Below are 27,136 nucleotides of genomic sequence, written 5' to 3' on the forward strand. Positions count from 1 at the left end.
GAATGAATGTATGCTTCAATAAGGGTTAGGAGCCTTTGTGTTGTTTACCTTGTAACTCTAGTACTTAGCACAGAAAGTGACACTTTGTAACACTTTATAAATATTTGTTGAATGAATACTAAAGCATTGGCTTTTATATAACGATTCACTTCTGCATGGACAAGGACTGGTTTGGAGGTTTTGTTATTGTTGTAGGAAAAAACTAGGTTCTTGTCACATGACCAGGAAAGATTAGGCTCGCAGACATTTTGAAGGGTGTGTAAGGCAGGCTTTATTTGGTGAAAAGTGAAAAAAGGGAAACAGGGACTGTCAGCAAAGTGAGAGTGCTGCTAGCAAGCTTTCTGCCTCACAGATTGAATCCCCAGTTACCACACAGGAATAGGAGGGGTCAGGCTCCTCTTTCTTGCAAATGGCATGAACTTCCCAAGGCCCCAGCCTGTCCTCCCAGTGCACAGGCTGGTCGGAGGTTCTCCGGGGAGACCTTTTTACTTGGAGACCTTTTTACCTTCTCCATTCTAAAGAAGTACATCTAACTGCCATTAGAATAAGGATAAGGATAAGGACAAAGACCAATCTTAATTGCTTCCTGCTGACAGGAGGTGCTGTTTTGGGAAAACAGCAGTCAGATCTCCCTCAGAGACATATCTAAGGATTCCTGGCAAAAGGGGCCAATGTCTGAAGCTCTGGTTGCATGACCGTTTTGGAGTTTGTTTGATGGCCTGAAGGTGAGAAGACACAAACAGGGTTATTAGAAAATATGTATCAAAATAAAATGTGGGGTAGGTGGTAAGGACAGCTCAAAAATCCCAAGGCCTTTTACCAGTTTGCACAGGGAAGGGAGGGCCAAAAGCCTGACTGGTAAGAAAAACTTTTACCCTTTTGCTGGTATGTCAGGCTTCTAGGTTCCCTTCCCCTGAGCCCAATCCTAAGCTGACCAGTTTAAGGTTTGAGAAATTAACTCTTCCCAGTTTGGAGGATGCATCTGAGGGGAATCTCCCATAGTACAGAGACACAATTACCTATCAGCGAAGAGAGGAGATAGGAGGAAAAAGGAAAAAACAAGGTTTTTTTCCAAAGGAGTCCCAGGAGTTCAGGATGCATTTGAAAGGGGTACAGACTGAAGATGAATGGCTACTCATCTAGAAAAAGGAGAGCAGGCATCACTAGCAAATACCAGGGATATGTGAGGGAGGGAAAGTGAGGCATTCCTCTTTCTTTCCTCTGTTCTTGCATCCCTGAGTCCTGGCAACCATGACAGGTACCACCCATTGGTGTTTTAGTGGCTTTCACTCATGTTAACAGGGGAGCCTAGAGGGTGGAAGTATCTGCTCTTACCCACATATGCTATGTCTCCCCTGCTGTCAGTAGCCTTTGAATTCCCTAGACCTCATTTATGTCATGGATGTGAGCATAGACTTTATCCATGAAATGGGAAGCTTGGCTTAATTGGCAGGAATCAGCCACACTCACCTGCACTGTGCCTTTTAACTTCCCTTATTGTCAGCCTCTGGATCCAGTTTTCTTTCCTAGTGCTTTGACCCAAAGCTTGGAATTGAGTTTGGGACCAAAATGTGTCTCAGGGGTGTTGCATGGACTCCTTATCGTAAGCTGAATGCTAAGGTAACACTGTGGAACTGAGTTTTCCTCCAACAAGGGAGAGAAAAGGATGTCTTATGACATGCCCAGATAACTGGTGGCTATCATTATGCTTGCTAAGATTTGGGTGCATTGTGCTTGGCTTTGGCTAGCTCCCTTGGTCTTACTTTCCCAAAAAAGAAACCTCCAGGTGATGGGCACCTTATTTATTCCCATCATCTGTCCGGATTTGCAAGATAATTGCTCAGAACTAGAATATTGATCCAGATTTTTACATTACCCATCCCCTTTTCTTCCTTCTGAGCCACATCTGGAGAATGCTGCTTGGTTCATAGGAACAAGCAGGATTAGTCTAAAATGTAGGCAAAAACTTAAAAACAACTAATGAGTTTAGAAAGTAATGACAAATGTATGATAAATTTTGAAACATAATTTCTCTCTCTCCAGTCCTCATTTTTGCTAAAAAAACAAATCATGATAGGACTGAGTTGTTTGCAAAATAGACTTTAGTCTTATACTTGGCCTGATTTTTTGCATAAAGTACAGCAAGAATAACTATTTCTACATAGGACTTCTAGATTGGCTTTGATGGTACTCTGTTCCACAAGGAATCTCAGATAAGACCTTTTAAAGCTAGGCCCAGCCATGGATTTGTATCCTCAAATACCTCTGAGTTGGGTAATCCTCTCCTTCTAAGGTCCCAAGATATACTTGGAACTCCTGGCCTGTTAGAAAGTGACATTCTTTACTGACCACAGGTCAGGAACCCTGTATGGGGCTGTGCAGACAACGGTGTGAGGCCAGTTTTTTCCCAAGGGGCTTTTATTGGCTCTGCAAGTCAAGTTTGACTGCTTAAAGGGAAGCATACCCTTCCAGTCAAAGCCTTGGTAAAACAACCAGTTTCTTTAATTGCATCCTGTTGCAAAAGAAAATGAATTCTTATTGCACTGATGCAAACAACTATATTGCCGTAAGTTAAGAATACACACAGATAGTTTCCAAATTCTAGAGGAACCAGGCAGAGAGAAATAAACATGCTCTAAATTTTGTTCACAAGAGTATACCTTACTCAATTATTAAAGGCTGTAAATAGTCCAAAATGTTTCCTTTACTCTGAAAAACAAAACAAGGATCAGCAATATTCCAAGCAAAAGTCAAAAAGATTGCTTCAGTTTTCTGAATTCATTCAGTTAGCTCTTCTTTTCCTTGATATTCATGAACATTTTAGCTCTTCATGAATTCTGTACATTTCCCTTTATTCCAGTGTCATAATCTTCAAAGTTATCAGACCTGTATTTGAGAGCACCTGTCAAAGTTCTATAGCTTATTATAAACCATCTTTTGAAAAGAATTAAAACAAGACAACAATTGTCTGTGAATAACGAAATGTCCAGGGTAGTTACAATTAGAAACACAATTGACAAAGAAGTTTGGTACCTCCGTGGTTTACAATAACTTAACCTTAATTGTGATTGATAGTATACTCAGACATTAGAATTTTAGAAATCCCATACAATTTGGGAACATATATTAGTATTATTCACCAAAATATAACCTAAAGAATATTGAACACCATTTTGGCAATCCTATGTAAGTAAACATGTCACATAATCCTGTTTACCTCTTTTCTGGATACTCCAGAGGCCCTTCTGAAGCATCGGAAAAGCCTGGCGTCAGGAAAGGCAATTTTGAAACTGAAGTTTGATTTTGGGAAGCCTGTAAAATATGTTAGAGGTTGAAAACACTTAATGTTATGAAATAGAATTCCAGATGACATAAATCATTTATTTTGCCAAAGTCGTGATTCAGAAACTTTTATAACCTGTTACAAATTTTGCTTAAGAGCAGATTAGTGCCTTATGAATACTTCGTTGTGCTTTTATTTTAATGCTCAATTTACAGAAAAACCCTATAATGCCTTTTTGAATTTAGTCAATATATGCACACACAGAGTTTTTGCAAGATTAGTTTTTACAATCCTTCCACCACTTGTTTGAACTTTTAACTTTATTTTATCTAATTTGAAACAATTCTTTAACCTTAGGCAACAATTTACATTTTTAATGCCTTCTTATAACATTTTTTTTTTTGAGATGGAATTTCGCTCTGTCACCCAGGCTGGAGTGCGGTGGCGTGATCTCAGCTCACTGCAACCTCTGCCTCCCAGGTTCAAGTGATTTTCCTGCCTGAGCCTCCTGAGTAGCTGGGATTATAGGCGCCCACCACCATGCCTGGCTAATTTTTGTATTTTTTGTAGAGATGGGATTTTGCCATGTTGGCCAGGCTGGTCTCAAATTCCTGACCACAAGTGATCCACCTCCCTCGGCCTCCCGAAGTGCTGGGATTACAGGCATGAGCCACTGCGCCTAGCCTCTTATAACCTTTTATTAAAAACACATTTTACTGTTCTTACACACCTCACATGTAAATCTATTTCCAGTAGTCTCAATTACATGTCATAATAGTAACTTTTAGCAATTTTTAACTTCAATGTAAAATCTGGTAAGTTGTTTTGAGTATGTGCTAGGAGCAGCTAAGGTTTGACTTCTTCCTGCATAATTAAGGGTGTGGTTAGTTCCATATGTCCCCATGCCTTACCAAGTTGAACAGTTCTCAAAAACCAAAAAGCAGTTTATAACCTTAAAACACTTAACAAACCTTGCATCTGACCTGCATAATTTAGTCCACCTATTTATATTTTGATGATATCTGCTTTTTACCAATAATCTTTAAGTCAGTCTTTATTTTACAAAGATTAAAGTTATATGAACTGAAAGGTACCACAGCTTTTATCTTCCCTTTAAAAAATATTTGATCCAAGCACTTATCTTCCTTTAAGCCAATTAATTAGAGCTCTTTTTAGAGACATCACACATATGTAACTACATAGGCAGAAGAAACCCCAGTTGTCATAAGATCTTTTCAAATGGGGAGAGGAATCTATCTGCTTTTAATTCCTGGGGTTCCATGAGGATAGCAGAGGTCTCTCCCCACTCAGATGTGCATTAAAAGTGGCAAGGCAAAATCGAGAAAAATAATTTAGTCAACTGAAAAAAACCTTTTCCCAGAAAAACAAGGTCCAATAAAAGGAAAACATAAAGGCCTTATAAATAGAGCTATAACTTGGATATCCACTTTAATTAAGCTGAGTACTCCTTAAGAAAATCCTTTTAACTCCATTATTAGCCAACTTTAGTTGGGCCAAGCTACCAATACTTCTGGCTTTCAAACTTTACTAAAGGCTCAGAGAAAGGAAAATCCAAGGCAGTGCGTGGAGGGGAAGAGAGTCAATAAGCAGCAAAAGGTTATGCAGATATGAAACCATAAAGGACTCATTCGCTAAGCTAGGATTGAACCTGGGGCCACCATTGTAAAATGGCAAAGGCTAGAATAAAACATTGCTATGTGGTTACAGGTCTTGCTCCCAAGGACAGCAAGATGGAGGCCTGCAGCAAAATTTGCTGAGGACTATACAGAAAGTCATGCAAAGCACGCTAGATTGGTTGCAGCTTAAGACGAACCTCACAAATCCTTTCTCACAACTAAAACTACAGAAAATATAAATAGTGATCCCCATCATTCCTGGCCCAGCAAAATGTCTTCCAAAAAGAAAAAAACCTGGTTTAAAAGTTACCTGCTGACAAGGTAGAGAAAAGGATGAGACAGCTTAGATGCTGGGCTGTGTTAACTGCTGACAGGGTGAAGAGAAAAGGATGCCTGGGGGAAGAACTTATTATTCTTATGCAAGTTGTTCCTCCACTAGGGAGAGAAGCATAATTGCTGTGGGATGGAGCTGGACTCCTTGGCTGGGGGAGGGGGAGACTCCACGGGCGCTTGGCAGGGAGTGCCAGCCAGCCTCGTGGGGCCCTTGGGTCATGCTTCCCAACGGGGAGGGGAGGGCGGCGGGGAACTGCTGCTCGCCCATCTGTACCAAAAAAAGAAAGAAAAGGCCATGGAAAGGCTGGGTTGGACTGAGGCCGACATTCCAGATCTCCGGGAGCAATGGGAGTAGGGGTACAGTTTCCTCTATCCTCAGAAGAAATCCGAAGGAAAAAAGGCTTAGAAGCGAAAGAGAAAAAGATGTTTTTTTTTGGTTTGCATTTCACTCACCCTTTCTCAAGCCTTATGTTTCTCAAACAATATGTTGTAGGAAAAACCGGGTTCTTGTCGCAGGATCAGGAAAGATTAGGCTTGCAGACACTTTAAAGGGTGAGTAGGGCAGGGTTTATTGGGTGAAAAGGACAAAAAGGGCCACAGGGACTCTCAGCAAAGAGAGAGTCCTGCTAGCAGGCTTTCTGCATCACAGATTGAATCCCTGGTTACCACATAAGAGCAGGAGGGGTCAAGTTCATCCCCCACCCCGCAAACGGCAGGAGCTTCCTGAGGCCCCGCCCTGTCCTCCCAGTGGGCAGGCTTATCGGAGGTTCTCCAGGGTGCTCTTTTTACTTGGCCGTCTCATTATATATGAACAACATCAATATCTGGATTCTCAGGATCAGAATGTCTTGATTGGTGTGCAGCTCTTTACTTGTTAGCTATATGATCAAGAGCAGTTTACCTAAACTCTTGATGCCTCAGTTTTTCCATCTATGAAATGGAAAAAATAATTGTACATATTTCATAGGGTGATTGTGAGGAATAAATAAGACAATTCACTTACTCATTTAACAAACATTTGTTGAGTTTTTCAGCTGGGCATGCTGGCTCACACCTGTAATCTCAGCACTTTGGGAAGCTGAGGTGAGCGGATCACTTGAGGCCAGGAGTTCGAGATCGGCCTAGACAGTATGGCAAAACCCTGTCTCTACTAAAAATACAAAAATTAGCTGGGCGTGGTGGCAGTGTGACTATAATCCCAGCTACTTGGGAGGCTGAGACAGAGAATCGCTTGAGCCCGGGAGGCGGAGGTTGCAGTGAGCTGAGATTGAACCACTGCACTCCAGCCTGGGCAACAGAGTGGACCCTGTCTGAAGAACAAAAACAAACATTTGTTGAGTTTTAATTATGCTAAAACTCTGGGGATACAGTGGGGAGCAAATGGACCCATATACTGCCTTCATGGAACAACAGCCATCAAGTAGTCACACTTAAATTCAATCACTCATTGAAATGTAACATTACAATGGTGACAAGGGCATTAAAGGATTAGTTCATAGTATGATGAGGCCTATGATAAAAGGACTTGAACTAGTTAGGTTAGGATAGGCTTTTTTGAAGAAGTAAGGATTGAACTGAAATCTGGAGAAAAAATACAGCATATCAGATAGAGGAAACATGCTAAGATTCTTTTCATGGGAGGGAGTATGGTGAGTACATGATGAAGTGAAAGATGCTGCTGGAGAGTTAGATAGGAGCCTTACAATTCATGGCCTTGTAAATCATATCAAAGGAATTTTGTATTTATCCTAAGAGGGATGGGACACTCCAGATGATTTTAGCAGGGAGTGACTTGATCAGATTTGCATTTCAAAAAGCACATTTGGCCTGAAGGAGAATAGTGTATTAAGGCAGAACAGTTAAGAGTAGACAGACAATCACAGTAGCCAGAGGAGAGATGATGGTGGCTTAGTCTGGGAGGTCGTAGTAGTAGTGAGAAAAAGTGATGTAGGATGACATTACCATTTGTTTAAAATACTCTCCTTTCTCCATTGAATTGCTTTTGCACATTTATTATAAAAATCAATTGGCCATGTTTGTATGGGTCTATTTCTGGACTCTCTTACATTTTCTTGGTGTATTTGTCTATTCATTTGCCAATATTGCAGTGTCTTGATTACTGTAGATTTAATACTAAGTCTTAGAATTGAGTAATGTGATTCCTCCAACTTTATTATTCATTTTCAAAATTGTTGTAGCTATTCTAGTTCCTTTACATTTCCATATAAATTTTATAATTAGCTTTTCTTTCTTTCTTTTTTTTTTTTTTGAGACGGAGTCTTGCTCTGTTGCCCAGGCTGGAGTGCAGTGGTGCGATCTTGGCTCACTGCAAGCTCCACCTCCCAGATTCATGCCATTCTCCTGTCTCAGCCTCCCGAGTAGCTGGGACTACAGGTGCCCACCACCACGCCTGGCTACTTTTTTGTATTTTTAGTAGAGATGGGGTTTCACCGTGTTAGCCAGGATGGTCTCGATCTCCTGACCTTGTGATCTGCCCACCTCGGCCTCCCAAAGTGCTGGGATTACAGGTGTGAGCCACCTCGCCCCGCCTAGAATTAGCTTTTCTATACCTTAAAAAACTCTTGCTGAAATTTTTATTGGAATTGTGTGAAATATATAGATTAATTCAGGTTGAACTGACATCATTAGTACGTTGAATCTTCTAGTACATGAACGTAGTATCTGTTTCTATTTTTATAGATCTTCTTTATAATGATTTATTTCATTAGCATTTTGCAGTATTCAGCATACAGTACTGTAAATGTTATATTAGGTTTATACCTAAGTATTTCTCTTTTTGCAGGTATTTTAAATAACTACCAAATAGGCATTTGATTTCTTTTTCTTGCCTTATTGCATGGCCTCAGACTGCCAGTATGCTGAATAACAGTGGTGAGCTTGTAAATCTTTGATATCCTGATCTTAAGAGAAAAACATTCAGTGTTTTACCATTAAGTTATGATGTTACTTGCAGGTTTTTTGTAGAAAGTTCTCTTGTATTTCTAGTTCACTGAAAGTTTATATTATGAATTGAAGTTGAATTGTGTGAAACGCTTTTTCTGTGTCAATTTATATGATCATGTGGTTTTTCTTCTTTAGACCATTAATGTGGTGTATTCATTGATTTACAAATATTGAATGAACCTTGCATTTCCAGGATAAACCCCATTTGGTGTTGAGTATTGTACTTTTTTTCTATTTCACTGAATTTTATTTGTTAATATTTTGCTGAGGATTTTTATATTTGAGTTCATAAGAGATATTGGTCTGTAGATTTCTTTTCTTTTGCTATCTGTGTCTGGTTTTGGAGACAAAGTAATGCTGGCTTTGTAAAATGAACTGAGAAGCTGTTTCACAGAGGCAGGTCTTTGCAAACCTATTCCAAAGTTCAAAGAAGCTTAGAGGCTGAAGAAAGAGGCTTATAAATCCAGTTTCTTGGAAACATTTAATAGGGACTTACAAACAGAAGCCATGTGTGTCTCAAGTAGTGGTAAGACAAGATGATGAATCCCTGCATCGTTAACCCCCAGACCCAAGGATTATATACCTTAGAGGAGGGGTACATGTGCTTCAGAGGCAATACTAGAAATATGTCCTAAGGGCAGGATTTACGGGAAGTACCTTCTTGTACACAAGGAACAATAGATAAACTGGAAATCTTAGAGGACTTTCTGGAACAGGGGTTAAGCAGAAGCCAACATGGTAGATTAGCTTCCAAGATAGAGTTGTTTTATGCTCCATAGAAGCTTTTGTTTCTTTTCTGTTTTCTGGAAGAGATTGTGTAAAATTGGTATAATTTCTTCTTTAAGTGGTAGAATTCTCTAGTGAAACCACTTGGGTCTAGAGATTTCTTTTTGGCAAGGTCTTCACTATGGATTTAATTTTTTTTATTGTTATAGAACTATGCAGGTTACCTGTTTAATCTTGAATGATTTTGGTAGTTTTTGGTTTTAAAGAAATTAGTCCATTTCCCCCAAGTTGTCAAATTTCTGTGCATAGAATTTTTTGTAGCATTTCCTGTTATCCTTTTAAATATCTGTACAGTCTGTAGGATTACCTTCTTTTTGTTACTGATATTGGTTGTTGTGTCATTTCTCTTTTTTGTCTCTTTTTTTTTGGAGATGGAGTCTTGTTCTGTCACCCAGGCTGGAGTGCAATGGCATGATCTAGGCTCACTGCAACCTACACCTCCTGGGTTCAAGTCATTCTCCTGCTTCAGCCTCCTGAGTAGCTGGGATTATAGGCATGCACTACCACACCCTACTAATTTTTTGTATTTTTAGTAGAGATGGGGTTTCACCGTATTGGCCAGGCTGGTCTCGAACTCCTGACCTCAAGTGATGCACCCGCCTTGACCTCCCAAAGTGCTGGGATTACAAGTGTGAGCCACCGTGACCGGCCCCTTTTTTATTAGTCTGGTAGAGGTTTCTTAATTTCATAGATCTTTTCAAATAATTAGTTTATATTTCATTGATTCTTTCTATTGTTTTTCTGTTTTCAATCTCATTGTTTTCTGCTCATATCTTTATTATTTCCTTCCTTCTGCTACTTTGAGTTTATTTTGCTCTCTTTCTAGATTCCTAAGGTGGAAGTTTAGATTGTTTTGAGACCTTTCTTTTTTGTAAGCATTTGCATGCTATAAATTTCCTCTAGTCACCTTTTCAGCTGCATTTCACAAATTTTTATGTGTTGTATTCTCATTTAGTTTAAAATAGTTTTAAATTTCTCTTGAGGGTTTTCCTTTGATCCCATTTAGAAGTCTATTGTTCAATTTCCATGTATTTGGAGAATTTCCTGTTATTTTTTGTTATTCTTTCCTAGTTTAACTTTGTTATGGTCAGAGAATGTACTTTTGTAAAAAATTTCTTAAGGTTTGTTTTATGTATCAGATATGATATATCTTAGTGAATGTTCCATGTGCACTGAAAATAATATGTATTCTGCTATTGTTAGGTAGAGTGTTCTGTAATTGTCAATTAGGCTCAGTTGGCTGATGGTGTTGTACAAATATATGTTTTTAATTGAATTTTTGGGTCTAATTCTATTATTTACTGAGAGAAGAGTTAAAACTAGTAGGATTTTGGAATTGTTTATTTATCTATTTAATTCTATCAGTGATTGCTTCGTGTGTTTTGAACTTCTGCTATAAACTTCACATTTATATCTAACTACCATATCTTCTTGATGAATTGACCCTTTGATTATAATTAAATGCCCTCAATTTCTGATAATACTTTTTTGTTTTAAAGTCTATTTTAACATATTATTATAGCCACTCCATGTTTCTTATGCTTGTTGTTTGCATGATATATCTTACAACCTACATTTGACTTTATATTTGTACATATGTGCTTATATGTAGCCTGCATATAATTGGGTCTTCTTTCTTTATGCACTCCGACAATCACTGCTAATTGGAGAATTTAGACCATTGATATCTTTAAAAATTGTTGTTTAAGTGTTGATGTGGCTTAGATTAGATTCACCATTTAAAAGTTGTTTTCCGTTTGCTCCTTTGTTTTGTTCCTCTTTTAAACTCTCTGCCTTCTTTTGGGTTATTTGAATATTTTTTGGCATTCCGTTTTAATGTATCTACTGGTATTTTATCTATACTTCTCTGCATTTATTTTTGTGGCTGTTCTAAGGATTACAGCATGTATCCATTACCTTGTCTATATTGAGTTAATATTGTACCACTTCATGTTAAATGTTGAAACTTTTTTTTTTTTTTTTTTAGATGGAGTCTTGCTCTGTTGCCCAGGCTGGAGTGCAGTGGCATGATCTCCGCTCACTGCAAGCTCCGCCTCCTGGGTTCATGCCGTTCTCCTGCCTCAGCCTCCCGAGTAGCTGGGACTACAGGCGCCCGCCATGACGCCTGGCTAATTTTTTGTATTTTTAGTAGAGATGGGGTTTCACCGTGTTAGCCAGGATGGTCTCGATCTCCTGACCTCGTGATCCACCCGCCTCGGCCTCCCTATTTATGTCCTTTTCCCACTTTGTCCTTTATGCTAGAGTTGTCATATATATTACACCTACATGCATTTACATCTTCCAAGACAGTGCTATAATTTTTGCTTTAGTAGTCATATGTTTTTTAAATAACTTGAAGAAAAATGATCTTTTATATTTATTGCAATATTTACCAGTTGTGATATTCTTTATTTTTTCCTGAAGATCCACGTTTACCTCTAATATTGTTCTCCTTCAGCCTAAAGAACTTCCTTTAGTATTTCTTGTAGTGCAGTTTTGCTGCTGACAAATTTTCTTAGTTTTTCTTTTTGAATATATTATTTATTTACTCTTCATTCTGGAAGGATTTTTTTTTTTTTTTGTTATAGGATTGTGGGTTGACAGTTTTGTTTCTTTCAGCACCTTAAAGATGATGTCTTATTGTCTTTGATCCTCCATGTTTTCTAATGAGAGACTCACATGCTTTCAAGATTTTCTCCCTAACTTTGATTTTCAGCAGTATGTAAGTGAAGTTGAATTATTATATTTGAGATTCACTGCACTTCATAAATCTGTAAATTTTTAACTTTCTTCAAATATGGGAAGTTTTGGCCATTTAAATATTTTTCTGCCCTATTTTTGCTGTCTTCTCCTTCTAAGATTACAATTATACATTGATTTGATCTTTTTATATTGTTCCACGGGTTCCTGAGGTGCTATTCATTTTATTTCAATGTTTTTTCTCTGTATTCTTCAGACTATCGATTCTGTTGTTCTGATAGTCAGATTCACTGTCTCTTTCCTTGTAATCTCCATTGTGCTCCCATGAGCATTCAATGAATTTTTTTTTACCAGCTCTAAAATTTCCATTTGTTCTTATTTTCTATTTCTTTCCTTAGATTTTCTATCTTTTTATTCATTTTAAGAGTATTTCCTATACCTGATTGAGCAAAACTGAATTAGCTGCATTAAAGTTCTCATCTGATAAAGTTCTCACATCTTGGTTATACTGGGGTTAGCATATATCTGTTGCCTTTTCCCTTGAGAATGTTGACATTTTACCAGTTCTTTGTATGTTGAATAATTTTGGATTATATTCAGGACATTGTGAAGGTTATATTATGTAGATTCTGTTACATTCTTCTGAATAATGTAAATGTTTTTGTTTTATCTATCAGTTTGCTAGATTCAAAAATAAACTTTATCTCACCTTCTATAAATGGTGCTTCAAATCTTAGTTTAATTCTCTGAGCCTTTGGTGTACTACTTTTGACTCTGTATATGAATGTATGCTTCATGGGTTGTTTTTAAATTTGTGTAGTATTCATACATAGAATCAGGAGATTACTTTCAGTGGTTCTTTGTTCTGTATGATTTCTCCTTTATATTCTGGCAGCTGGTTGTGGGTCCCAGGGCTCCTTTCCCTGGTTCTACCAGGTTCCTCTAGCAAGAGAGATGGTGGGGTTTCTATTGTAGTTTTAGCTGCCTATACCACACTGCTTAGCAGTGACATTTCACCATTGGGACAAAGCTACCAAAACTGACAAACTCACTCCTCTTCCAGCCACTTGTGTTAATTTTTTTTTTACTTGTTAAAATCCTTAGGTTATATATTGTCTCTCTCTCTCTCTCCCCCGCCCTCCCTCCCTCCTTCCTTCTTTCCCTCTCTCTCCCTTGCTGTACACACACACACACACACACACACACACACACACACACACGTTTATATGTATTTATGTATTTTGTCCAGAGTTTATAGAAGTTTTCAGTGGGAGAGTTGGTCTCTGGGCATGAGATTATAGTGACATACTGAAAGCTAAAAGACTGCTTCTATTTTTTGATCCTTCAAATGGAGACATAAAAATCTGACTTCCATAGAGTAGTGTAAAGAATGAAAATATATTTTAAGCATCTAGTGAGGGCTGGTCATACAGAAGTCATCTGAAAGCATGAAACCATGGTTATTGTTATCAATCTGTCTCCACAGTCCTTGATATAATTTAAACACTTTTCATCTTGCATTTGTTTTGGCACAGTAGTCTCATTACTGGCTTTCTTGTTTTTAGGTTCGCCCTACTTAAGCTTTCTTCTGCACTATTGCTAGTGTTATCTTTTAAAATCGCAAATAGGATTATATATTGTTACAGTAACATTTATGATGATTCCACATTGTCTATAGATAAAATTCAAACTCCTTAACTACAATTAGTAGTTTTTATGGTTAATAATATAGGACCTTTTATTGTGAGGCCTTTTATAAAATCATTGTGATGTCATGCTTGGGAAGACAAAGTAAAAAGTGAGTTCATAAATATATGCTGTGTTGGATAGTAGAAGGAATGATGAGAAATTAATCATCTGTAACTAAACAATTAATTATTGTGTTCCAGGGCTGTGTCTACTGAATTGTCTGTCATCATGTTTAGTCTTTGAATTTACTTAATATTGACTAATTTTCTCTTTTTAAAGAATTTTAGCCAGGGGGAAGCTCATAGTTCTTTCCACAGCTCCATTTGGGCAGTTTGATTACTTTCACTATGTGTATGGTTTGGCATTCCTGATTTGTTAATGTTTATAAATAGGGAGAAAAGGAAACACTTTTATATGAAAATAAACAATTTGAGAAGATTGCTGAAGAATTAAAAGGAACAGAACAAGAACTAATTGGTCTTCTCCAAGCCAGAGAGGTTTGTTTAAGGAAACATTTTTATTTTAAATATTTTGTTAATAGAACATAGATTTATGGATTATGGTATAAGTATTTCTTTTGTTAAAGATTTCTTCACAAAATTCCTTTCCAAGCATTTATTATTACATTAATATATTTATGATTGATTTAAAACACATCTAGACAACCCCCATATTATAATGTGAGAAAGATCAGCATTTAAAAGATCAATATGATGCATTATGCTATGGTTTATAATAGTGATATTTCTTGATGTCTTGAGTATTTTTTCTTTTGAGACAGAGTCTTGCTATGTTGCCCAGGCTGGAGTGAAGTAGCTAATTCAAATGCACAATCATTGCACACTGCAGCTTTGAACTCCTGTGCTTCCTGGCTCATCCCCTCAAGTAGCTAGGATTATAGGGGCACACCATCATGCCTAGCCAAGTATTTCTTAATTGGTACATTTGAAATTTAGACTTCATTAAGTTAGGTTCTTAGTTTATAGTACTTTTTATAGTGCTCATGTTATAGTTTTAGAATTTGTATTTTAAAGTATGTTTCCAGTCCATGACAGTATTACATCTTGTCTTTTTACAATAATAAGAACATTATAGTTCTTATTATTTTATAATAATAAGAACATTTTAGTTTTTTAAGACACTACCTGATTTCATCAATTAATATATTTCTCCTTGATAATATAACATTTTAATAGAAATTAGTTACTTGGCAGAGTGAGAATATTTTATAGCATATAAATGTTTTTCTGGTTGAATTTTACAATATCGAGATAGAATTTACTTATACTGAATATGTCATTGTTCATTGTTTTAAAATTATAGTGATTATTCACTTTAAATTTACTCGTTTAAAATATTTGACATAACCTGCCAAATTTTTGCCAAATATATGACTTAATTACACAGTGACTATACCTTTTAAATGAGAAAATTCGAAAAACACTTGCCATAGTTATATATGTTTATTTTGCAGAAAGAAGTACATGATTTGGAAATACAGTTAACTGCCATTACCACAAGTGAACAGTATTATTCAAAAGAGGTTAAAGATCTAAAAACTGAGCTTGAAAACGAGAAGTATGTTTTCCATTTATCTAAAAATAGTTTATGTACTCAATTCCTAAGCTTTCTGATAATAAATAATAATTTAGTAAATTATATTTAATATTTATTTGAATGGATTTGAAATTGTATTTTACTCTTAAGGATCTAAATAATGTGCTAATTTCATTGCTAAAGAAAGTACATATCACTGACATAAAGAAAGAGTACATCCCAAATTTGAGAACCACTTTAGATCAATGTGTTACTTTTCTTAGAGGTATTTAGTTCCCCATAAAAATAATCATTTTCAGTTCTAACTGGTTGTTTTGGTTGTTTTGCTAAATTATTTTATAGGTTTTTGCTGATAAAGTGTCAAAATAAAAAATTATTTCTTACATTATCCAAATAAAATATTGAATTGGATGATTTTACCTACTCAGTAAGTTTAATTTGGAGAGAAAGCGGGGAAATTATTATTGTATTATTACTCAGAGAAAAGTAAATTCAAGTAGCCAGTATAGTGGTGGTGAGCATGATTTTCCCCTTTTGGTGGCTTCTCAGTGCTAGATTAAATATGAGAAGTAAACAGTTTATGCAGCATCCTCTCCCTTCCTTTTTATCTAATTCTCTATTTCTGGTACCTTTTCAATAGTACTTTTTTAAGGGCCCTAGGTTAAACTCATCTATTAACTAATGTCCCTTTTAATGAATGGACTGGTTAGTTATTTGTACTTTAATGTAAATTTGTTATCCTTAGTATATTTGCTTTTCAACTTTTCATTGGCTTAGTGAAACACTTTATCTCCTCTTTGATGAATTTCCAGTATCATTAAGTAGAAATAGATAATAGATGCTCCTAAAATCACTCTGTAGAGCCACATACTCCTCCGCCTTCATTTAAAATTGATATTGGATGTAAGCAATACAGCAATAATCTCTCTTCCAAAGTAGAACATTTGAGATCTTTTAAGAGCAAGTTAGGTGTTGTGCAAAAAAGTTAAATTCAGTTTTTTTTTTAAATACTTTAAGTTTTAGGGTACATGTGCACAACGTGCAGGTAAAAATATCTTAATTAAACACAGCTAATGCTTCGTGTACTACTTTAATCAGGTTATAGGAAGTTTGAAATAACTTCTAAGAGACAGTCTAATGGAGAGGAAAAAATTATTGAAGAAAATAATGTGCTCTTCAAAATTTGTGGAAAGTATGAAAGGATGAGCAAACAGGGAACATGCAAGGAAATATATTGTATGACATTTGAAAATTTAGTAAAGAAAAATTTCAAAAATATAAAAATTAGAAGGAATAATGTAATGATCAACCTATCACCCAGCTTCAGGAATTATAAACCAATAGTCAATTTTGTTTCATGTTTTTCCCCCAGCCCTTCATCCCTTTCCCCTATCATTATGTTGAATAAAATTCCATATTATGTCATTACATTTGTAAATATTTTGGTATGACTTTTTTTTTTAAAAAATAGGCTTAAGAATACTGAATTAACTTCACACTGCAACAAGCTTTCACTAGAAAACAAAGAGCTCACACAGGAAACAAGTGATATGACCCTAGAACTCAAGAATCAGCAAGAAGATATTAATGTGAGTTGAAAAAGAAAGTGCTGGTGACTTAGTTTTCTTCCAATTAGCAGGTTAGAATAGATGACCTCTAAAGACCCTTTGACCTTTAAAGTCTGATTGCTTTAGAGCTAAAACTTTGTTTTAGCAGAAAAATATGCATATTGGTCTTATAGGGTGGTAATAGGCAACAGAGGCTACCCTCTGATTAAAATTAAAATGGAAGCCATTACTAGAAAAAGTTAATTTAATTTTAGGCATCAAGATTTTTAAAAAGTATTTAGTCAATAGGTATTTATTAAGTCATACAAGATTGTGGAGGATACAATGATGAATAAAATGTCACCCTTTCTCTTTAAGAACTTATGACTTAATAAAAAATAGTAATTTCTCACATAACTTAAGCAAAATAGTATGTCATATATGTTGTTAGTGGGACAAGGTGCTATCAGAGTTTGCAGGATCACTTCTGCTTTGGATAAAGAGAAGGCTTCTGAGAGAATATAGCATTGATTTTGGTCTTAAAAGGTGAATTATGAGTTCAGTAGGTAACAATGAATGGAAAACATTACTTGAAGTGACAATATGAACAAAGGATACAGACTCAAAGTAACGCTGGAAAACCAAATGATACTTGTTTTGTTAACTGTTATATAGAGATTGTTGGGAGAATAATTAAAGTAAGGCTTAAAAAAGTAGTATGGAACTATACAAGTTGAAAAGCCCATTTTTTTGCTTTATATATAACTAAATAAATTTTATGCTGATAGATAAAGGTCTTAAATAGTAGTTTAAATTTTATTTTTGTTTAAACAAAATAATTGATATAAACAACATTATTTCTTTAGAATAACAAAAAGCAAGAAGAAAGGATGTTGAAACAAATAGAAAATCTTCAAGAAACAGAAACCCAATTAAGGCAAGACTAACAAATTGGCCTTTTTTTGTCTGGCAAAAGATTTTGATATTTCTTTTCTATTAACTTGTTATCATTAATTTAAATTGGACTGCTGTTGAATATTTTATAAAGTAAAAATTAGATATAAATCACTGTTGTGGAATCCTGCTTAAAAATAAAATTATAATAATGTCTACTTTATACTTAGTGTTAAAAGTTAGTGAGATTAGACAGAAATTTTAAAGCATCATAAACCTTCTAATTCTTTAATATTTAATTAAGAAAATATATTAATCACATTTAATAAAATATAGAAATCTTAAAAATTACTTCTAATCATATGAACTATTATAATACTAGAGTATTTATACCCACTCTATATTTTTTTTTTTACATTTTAAAAAATTATCTTTATTTAGGTTTCTGATTCAGCACATGTATCAAAGACTAATCAACATAAAGGAGTAAATAAGACATTAGTTGAAGGTCTTACATCTCTCTAAACTCTGACCAAGAATGTCAAGATTGCCACTATTACCAGAACTCCAACCTAGTCAAGTTGTAGACAAGCTATCATGAACAACATACAGTGTGCACAGATATGCAGAGGCAAAAGGCATGCTAGCGCTTGGCTCTCCTCTTTTCCTTGTTGACATCTTTCTGTTGGACAGTCCACTTTTGCTTTCTAGGCTAAGTTCCAAATTAAGTCCAAAGAAGGCTCAGGGTGAACCTGACCAGATACTTTTCTGGAGGAATGCATTCTTAAACTGTTGTGCCTGCAACTTTGTTTTTGCTAGGATGAAGTTCAGACCGAGATGTACAATACAATCTAGATGATGGTGCAGACTAAGTCAAGAACTAAAGTTGAGCAGTAACCCGAGTTAAGGCATGAATGCAGACACACACATGCACACACACAGCATCCATGCTATCAAGACACAGGATTTTTTCACGAGAGGCAACCTGGGCTTTGCAGTTAATCAGAAAATGCCCCCCACGACTTTATGCTAACAGCTGTGTGTATGTTTTAATCAAAAAATTAAAGAAAGAAGAAAAAAAACTAAAAAAAAAACAAACTAAAAAACAAAGAAAAAAACAAACAAAAAATCACCAAAAACCTAGAAACCCCTTAATCTCTTACAATGGCTCTTGAGCATGGAACTCAGGTAGCAGCATCAATGGCTGGCTCTTTAACAATTTGGAAATAAAAGGTTGTTTTTTTGTATTTCTTTGGTAGCCATCACTACAAAGTTTTCAGTGTTGGTTACCTATAAGACAAGTACTAGACAGAAGATCAAGTTACACAGAAATATTTCTTCTGTACTGATAAGATACAAATATTGAGCTCTCAAAGCACAAGTTACTATGCTTTTTCTTGCCTTATTGGGCATTCTCTAAAAGCAAGGCTTTGTGCAGGAAAAGTTCATGTCTACCTAACAAAGGGTGATACGTGTTCTATTTTCCTACAAGTGAACAATTAACACAAATTCACATTATCAGTTATTTCTGGTTGAATCCGTTAGAAGCCAATTACAAAGGGACAGCAGCACTTGGTGTCAAAGCCACTTTCTGGTCACACATTCATTCCATGGTTGCTAGTCAGTATCTCAGGAGCTCAGAATTTAAAACTCTTTTCAGTCAAATAAGGAGTAAGTTCAATTAAAGACTTCCACTATCTGCCAAATTTCTAGAATTCTGTCTAGAGGGCTAGCATGCTTGATGAGAGAAAGCAGTTCAGAGCCCAAAGAGGTGTCAGGTATTAGGTAAGTTAATTTGGTTTTGTATAAAAGGCATGGTAATCCGGCAACAGAGTACTTATCCTATTAGCAGCACAGTGGTAGCCAAGGGTCTCTGTCTGCAAGACAGGAAAATGAAGCTACTGAAGCCCCTGTTGTCCCGCCTGCCTGCAGGATGGCTACTGATTTTACAAAGGCGTTCTGGGAGCCAATCCAGGGCTCACCTGGGAGAGTGGGTAACAGAATGGCAGGAACCATGTTCAGCCCCCATGAGAAGTGCCCGACTGAGGGAAGTCAGCTTCCCATAGGTGTACCCACTCTATATTTTAAAGAATGTATTTGGTCATTGCTTATAATCATACATATATAATTTTGTATGTGGTTTTTCCATTTAATATTATTTTTAGCATTATTAATGTTTTTATGTGTTTTCACAGTCATCTATTTTAATGCCCATCTACCAGTCATTCAAGTGGATGTAATGACATTATTTTAGTCATTTTTACTTTTGGATATTTATGTTTTTTAGTTTTTCATTTTCATAGATAATACTAGTAAACATGTTGGCACATAAATACTTTTTCCTTATTTTGAATTGGATCATAGTAATAATGATTTCTATGGCTTGATGGTTAGTTTCCAATAGGTTGTATCATTGTAAACCATGCAATACAACAAATATTATATGAAAATGCTGGTCCTAAAATGTTTTAATTGATATTGGGTATTATTAATTTATTGATAATTTAAAAGATAAGGATAAGTCATTTTTGGTATGATTTGTGATTTTTAGTTTTTGGATAAGCTTTGGAAGCTTTCAAGTTTGATTTTAGAATTTCTTCTTTTTAAAATTGTCTGCTTATACCTGTTGCCCTCTAATCTTTTGAGGTTTTTTTTTTTTATTGATTTGCTTAAGCTTCTAAAAATATATTAATCTTTTACCTGGTTTATTTATAGCACATATTTTCCCTAACCTGTTGTTTTCCTTTAACTTCAGAGAACTTTTTATTATATGAAAGGTTTCAATTTTTTATTAAACTTGATTGTCTTTTGTGATTTTACCATTGCTTCTTTTAAGGTTTCTTTTTAATTTTCGATTTTTAATTTTTGTGGGTGCATAGTAGGTATATATAAGTATGGGGTATATAAGACATTTTGATACAGGCATACAATGTGTAATAATCATATCAGAGTAAATGGGGTATGCATCACTTTAAGCATTTATCCTTTGTGTTACAAATAGCCCAATTATACTTTTACTTTTAAAAAAAGTACATGTAAATTATTATTGATTATAATCACCTTGTTGTGCTATTAAATACTAGATGTGATTCACTTTCTATTTTTTGTACTCATTAACCATCTCCATTTCCTCCTATCACCACTACTCTTCCTAGCCCCTGGAAACCCTCTTTCTACTCTCTATCTTAATGAGTTCAATTGTTGTAACTTTAGCTCCTTCAAATAAGTGAACATGCAAAGTTTGTCTGTCTGTACCTGTCTTATTGCAGTTAACTTAATGACCTCCAGTTCCATCTATGCTGTTACAAATGACAAGATCTCATTCTTTATTATGGCTGAATAGTACTCCATGGTGTATATGCATCACATTTTTGTTATCCATTCACCTGTTGATGGACACTTACATAGCTTCCAAATATTGGCCATTGTGAACAGTGCTTCAATTAACAGAGTGCAAATGTCTCTTAGATATACTGATTTCCTTTCTTTTGGGTGTATACACAGGAGTGGGATTGCTGGGTGATACGGTAGCTCTATTTTTGAGGAACCTCCAAGCCATTCTCCATAGTGGTTGTACGAATTTACATTCCCACCAGCAGTGTATGAGGGTTTCCTTTTTCTCTGCATCCTCGCCAGTATTTTTTATTGCCTGACTTTTGGATAAAAGCCATTTTAACTGGGGTAAGATGATATCTCATTGTAGTTTTGATTTGCATTTCTCTGATGATCAATGATGTTGATCACCTTTTCATATACCTGTTTGCCATTGGTATGTCTTCTTTTGAAAAATGCCTATTTAGATCTTTCGCCCATTTTTTCCCATAGGATTATTAGACTTATTCCCATAGAGTTTTTTGAGCCCCTTATATATTGTGTGTATTAATCCCTTGTCAGATGGATAGTTTACAAATATTTTTTCCCATGCTGTGGGTTGTGTCCTCCCTTTGTTGATTTTTTTTTTTCTGTGCAGAAGCTTTTTAACTTGATGTGATCTGACTTATCTATTTTTGCTTTGGTTGTCTGTAATTGTGGGATATTACTCAAGAAATCTTTGCCCAGTCCAATGTCCTGGAGAGTTTCCTCGACGGTTTCTTTTAGTAATTTCATAGCTTGAGATCTTGGATTTAAGTCCTTGATCCATTTTGATTTGATTTTTATATATGGCAAGAGATAGGGGTCTAGTTTCATTCTTCTGCATATGGATATATGGATATCCAGTTTTCCCAGCACTGTGTATCGAGACTATCCTTTCCCCAATGTGTGATCTTGGCACCTTTGTCAAAAATGAGTTCACTGCAGATGAATGGATTTGTTTGTGAGTTCTCTGTTCTGTTTCATTGGTCTATATTTCTGTTTTTATGCTAATGCCATGCTGTTTTGGTTACTATAGCTAGGTAGTACATTTTGAAATCAGGTAATGTAATTCCTCTAGTTTTGTTCTTTTTGCCCAGAATATCTTGGGCTATTCTGGGTCTTTTGTGGTTCTATATAAATTTTAGGATTGATTCTTCTATTTCTGTGAATAATGTCATTGGTATTTTGATAGAGATTGCATTGAATCTGTAGACTGCTTTGGGTAGTACAGACATTTTAACAGTATTGATTGTTCCAGTCCGTGAACACGTAGTGTCTTTCCTTTTTTTGTGTGTCCTCTTAAATTTCATTAATCAGTGTTTTATAGTTTGCATTGTAAAGATTTTTCACTTTTTTGGTTGGGTTAATTTCTGGGTGTTTAATTTTATTTATAGCTATTGTAAATGGGAGTACTTTCTTGATTTATTTTTCAGATTGTTTGCTGTTGGCATATAGAAATGCTACTGATTCTTTTATCCTGAAACTTTCCTGAATTTGCTTATTAGTTCTAATAGTTTTTTGGTGAGATCATTAGGCTTTTCCAAGTATAAGATTATACTTGGAAATATACATGTTTCCAAGAAATATACATCTGCACGCAAGGATAATTTGACTTCTTTTCCAATTTGAATGCCCTTTATTTCTTCCTTTTGTCTAATTCCTGTAGCTAAGACCTCCAGTACTATGTTGAATAACAGTGGTGAAAGTGGGCATCCTTGCTGTGTTCCAGGTCTAAGAGGAAAGACCTTCAGTGTTTCCCCATTCAGTATGATACTAACTGTGGGTCAGTCATATATGCTTTTATTATGTTGAGCTATGTTCCTTCCGTACCCCGTTTTTTGAGGGTTTTTATCATGAACAGATGTTGAATTTTATCAAATGCTTTTCAGCATCAATTGAAATGATCATATGGTTTTTGTCCTATAGCATGTTGATATAATGTATCACATTGATTTATTTGTATATGTTGATTATCCTTACATTTGTGGGATAAATCTCACTTGGTTATGATTAATGATCTTTTTAATGTATTGTTGAATTTGGTTTGCTAGTATGTTGTTGAAGATTTTTGCATCAATGTTCATCAGGGATATTGGCCTTTAGTTTCCTTTTTTTATGTGTCTTTATTTGGCTTTGGTATCAGGGTAATACTTGCCTCACAGAATGAGTTTAGCTATATTCCCTCCTCCTTTATTTTTTGGAATAGTTTCTGTAGGATTGATATTAATTCTTTAAATGTTTTGAAAAATTCAGCAGTGAAGCCATCAGGTCCTGGGTTTTTCTTTGCTGGAAGACTTTTTATTATAGCTTTGATCTTATTACTTGTTTTTCGTCTGTTCAGGTTTTAGATTTCTTCATGGTTCAATTTTGGAGGGTTGTATGTGTCTAGGTATTTATCCATTTGTTCTAGGTTTTCCAATTTATTGATGTGTAGTTGCTTAGAGTAGCCTCTAATGATCCTTTGAATTTCTGTGATATTGGTTATAATGTCTCCCTTTTCATCTCCTTTTTAAAATTTATTTTGGTCTTCTCTCTTTTTTTCTTAGTTCGTCTTCCTAAAGTTTTGTCAATTTTATCTTTTCAAAAAACCAACTTTTTGTTTTGTTGATGTTTTGTATTGTTTTCTTTAATTTCATTTATTTCTGCTCTGATCTTTATTATTCTCTTCTACTAATTTGGGTTTGGTTTGCTCTTCTTTTTGTAGTTTTTTAAGATGCATCATTAGGTTATTTGACTTTTTAAAACTTTTTTGATGTAGGCACTTACAAACACACCTCTTAATACTCCTTTTGCTGTATCCCATAGGTTTTGGTATGTTATCTTTCTATTATCCTTTGTTTCAAGACATTTTTCAGTTTTCTTCTTAATCTCTTTATTGACCCACTAACCATTCAGGAGCATATTTTTAAATTTTCATGTGTTTTTACAGTTTTCAAAATTCTTCTTGTTATTAACTTTCAGTTCAATTTCATTGTAGTCAGAGTAGGTACTTGATCTGATTTCAATTTTTTAAATGTTTTAAGACTTGTTTTGTGGCTTAACGTATGGTCTGTCCTTGAGAATGTTCCATGTGCTTAGGAGAAGGATGTTTATTCTGCAATTGTTGGATGAAATGTTCTGTAAATATATATTAGGTTCATTTGGTCTAAAGTGCAGATTGATTGATGTTTCTTTGGATGCTCAAAGTCTGGGTGATTTGTCCAGTGCTGAAAGTGGGGTGTTTAAGTTACCAGCTATTATTTTACTGGAACCTATCTCTCTTTAGCTCTAATAATATTTGTTTTATATATCTGTGTGCTCCAGTGTTGGGTGCATATATCTTTGTAATTGTTATATTCTCTAGCTGAATTCATCCCTTTATCATTATATAATGACCTTCTTTGTCTCTTTTTATAGTTTTTGTATTGAAATCCATAATGTCTGGCATAAGTATAGCTATTTCTGCTCTTTTTTAGTTTCCATTTGCATGGAGTTTCTTTTACCGTTCCTATATTTTCAGTCTCTGTGTATCTTTACAGGTGAAGAGGTGTTTCTTGTTAGGCAACAGCCTGTTGGGTCTTGTTTTTCTATCCATTCAATTGCTCTATGTCTTTTGATTGAAGAGTTTAGTCCATTTACATTCAATGTTATTATTGATAAGTAAGGACTTACTCTAGCCATTTCGTTATTTGTTTTCTGGTTGTTTTGTGGTCTCTTCTTTCTTTCCTTCATGTTTTCCTTTTAGTGAAGGCAATTTTCTTTGGTGGTATATTTTAATTTCTTACTTTTTCATTTTTGTTTATTTGTTGTATTTTTTTTATTTGAAGTTACCATTAGGCTTGCAAATAATATCTTATAACCCATTATTTTAAACTGATGACAAGTTAACTGATTGCATAAGCAAATAAACAAAGAGAAAACTAATAAAAACTCTATACTTTGTTTCCCTGGTTTTAAACTTTTTGTTGTTTTTATTTATATTTTATTATTGTGTTTATGTCTGGAAAAATTGTTATTATTTTTCATCAGTTCATCTTTTTGTCTTCCTACTTAAGATACGAGGCCAGGTACGGTGGCTCACTCCTGTAATCCCAGCACTTTGGGAGGCTGAGGGGGGCAGATCACCTGAGGTCAGGAGTTTGAGACCAGCCAGGCCAACATGGTGAAACCCTGTCTCTACTAAAAATAGAAAAATTAGCCGGGTGTGGTGGCGGGTGCCTGTAATCCTAGCTACTGGGGAGGCTGAGGCAGGAGAATTGCTTGAATCTGGGAGGTGGAGGTTGCAGTGAGTGACAAGAGTGAGACTCTGTCTCAAAAAAAAAAAACAAAAACAGATATGAGTAGTTACATTCCACAATTACAGTGTTATAATGTTCTATGTATTTACTGTTACCAGTGAGTTGTGTATCTTCAGATGATTTCTTATTGCTCATTAACATTCTTTTCTTTCAGATGGAAGAACTCTCTTTACCATTTCTTGTAAGACAGGTCTGGTGTTAATGAAATTTCTTAGCTTATGTTTGTCTGAAAAAGTCTTTATTTCTCCTTCATGTTTGAAGGATATTTTCACTGGATATACTATTCTAGGGTAAAAGTTTTTTCCTTCAGCACTTTAAATATGTCATGACCCTCTCTGGGCCTGTAAGGTTTCCATTGAAAAGTCTGCTGCCAGACATACTATATGTTATTTATTTCTTTTCTCTTGCTGCTTTTGGGATTCTTTCTTTATCCTTGACCTTTGTGAGTTTGATTTTTAAGTGCCTTAAGGAAGCCTTCTTTGGTTTAAATATAGTTGGTATTCTAATAACCTTCTTGTCCTTGAATATTTAGATCTTTCTCTAGGTTGGGAAGTTCTCTGTTATTATCCCCTTGAATCAACTTTCTACCCTTATCTCTGTCTCTACCTCCTCTTTAAGGCCAATGACTCTTAGATTTGCCCTTTTGAGGCTGTTTTCTAGATCTTGTAGGCATGTCTACTAGGCATTCTTGTATTGCTATAAAGAAATACCTGAGACTGGGTAATTTCTAAAGAAAAGAGGTTAATTGGTTCATAGTTCCATAGGTCATACAGAAAGCATGGTGATGGCATCTGCTCAGCTTCTTGGAAGGCCTTAGGGAAATTTTACTCATGGTAGAAAGCAAAGGAGGCACTTCACATGGCAAAAGCAGGAGCAAGAGTGGTGGGGAGGACACACTTTTAAACATCCAAATGTTGCAAGAGTTCGCTATTGCAGGCATCACCAAGCCATGAGGGATCCTCCCCCACAACCCAAACCCCTCCCACCAGGCCCCACCTCCAATATTGGTGATTACATTTCAATATGAAATTTGGGTGAGAGCAAATATCCAAACTGTATCATTGCACTTCCCCGCACCCAAATCTCATGTACTTTTCACATTCCTAAATACAATCATGCCTTCCAAATAGTCCCCCAGAGTCTAACTCATTCCACCATTAACTCAAAAATCCAAAAGCCAAAATCTCATCTGAGACAAGGCAAATCCCCTCCACCTGTAAAATCAAAACAAGTTAATTACTTCCAAGATACAATTGATAAATACTCCCATTCCAAAATGGAGAAATCAGCCAGAAGAATTGAGTTCAGGTTCCATGCAAATCTAAAACCCAGCAGGGCAGTCATTAAATCTTAAAGCTCCAAAATAATCTCCTTTGACTCTATATACCACATTCAGGGAACACTGCTGCAAAGGGTGGACTCCTAAGGCCTTGGGCAGCTCTGCCCCTGTTGCTTTGTATTTTGATATTTAGTTTCTCTTTTTTAAAACTATAAAAACATTTTAAGCCATCAATTTACTTCTGAACACAATGATGAATTTATGATATAGTGTTTGATATGTAGTGTTTCCATGTTCATTATTTTCTAAACAACTTGTTTTTATATTTTAAGTTTCTGTTTAATCCATTAGTAGCCTAGATGAATTCCACATATTTGGGGGCTCTTGTTTGTACTTATATTATGAAGTATTCAGTTTTGGTTTTTTACATTTGGTTAAAGAATGTGGTCTTTAAGACTTCCTTATTTTGAGTTATTTGAGATCTTCTATAGGCCTAATAATTTTTAGTATAATGTCACTCTTCCATTTTCTTTTAGAAATGAACTAGAATATGTGAGAGAAGAGCTAAAACAGAAAAGAGATGAAGTTAAATGTAAATTGGACAAGAGTGAAGAAAATGTATGTTATATTTAATAATGGATCGTATCACAAAATTTCAAATTATAAAAGCAACACCATATGTCTAAACTAAAATAAAGGGAAGTATACTGTTGTATAAATAATAGTGATCTAGAGACTGTCATCAGCCATCAACCTTAAATATCTAGGAAAGGTTGGATTATTTTACTATTGATATCTATATCTAGAAGAAATAGTGGCATAATTCTGATTTTCTT

The 27,136-nt window shown here is 35.3% G+C and overlaps 1 protein-coding gene and 1 long non-coding RNA gene across 14 annotated transcripts in view; one reads left to right on the top strand and one right to left on the bottom strand.

The window, feature by feature from the left end:
* The window catches only part of SYCP1 (synaptonemal complex protein 1), a 141,283-nt gene that overhangs the window by 42,525 nt on the left and 71,622 nt on the right, over positions 1-27,136 (top strand). For 11 of the 12 annotated variants that reach the window (NR_104211.2, XM_017002184.2, NM_001282541.2 and 8 more), the window contains 5 exons: positions 13,785-13,889; positions 14,867-14,970; positions 16,421-16,538; positions 17,363-17,433; positions 26,837-26,918. Coding sequence is in view for 11 of the 12 variants with exons in the window: in XM_017002184.2 (XP_016857673.1) it covers positions 13,785-13,889; positions 14,867-14,970; positions 16,421-16,538; positions 17,363-17,433; positions 26,837-26,918 (480 nt within the window). In the remaining variant the exon portion in view is untranslated. Of the gene's footprint in view, positions 1-13,784; positions 13,890-14,866; positions 14,971-16,420; positions 16,539-17,362; positions 17,434-26,836; positions 26,919-27,136 lie in introns of those variants that run through there. The other variant, XM_011542039.2, reaches the window with a different exon arrangement.
* On the bottom strand, positions 247-5,922 carry LOC105378915 (uncharacterized). 2 transcript variants are annotated; one of them, XR_947720.3, is made up of 3 exons: positions 5,707-5,922; positions 3,218-3,312; positions 247-2,886 (listed from the first exon to the last, which is right to left on the bottom strand). It is a non-coding gene; the product is annotated as an uncharacterized LOC105378915 (long non-coding RNA). The 2 variants fall into 2 exon arrangements; XR_947721.3 differs by lacking the exon at positions 5,707-5,922 and adding an exon at positions 5,231-5,311.

The sequence above is a fragment of the Homo sapiens genome, chromosome 1 (genome assembly GCF_000001405.40).
Source record: "Homo sapiens chromosome 1, GRCh38.p14 Primary Assembly".
Taxonomy (NCBI): domain Eukaryota; kingdom Metazoa; phylum Chordata; class Mammalia; order Primates; family Hominidae; genus Homo; species Homo sapiens.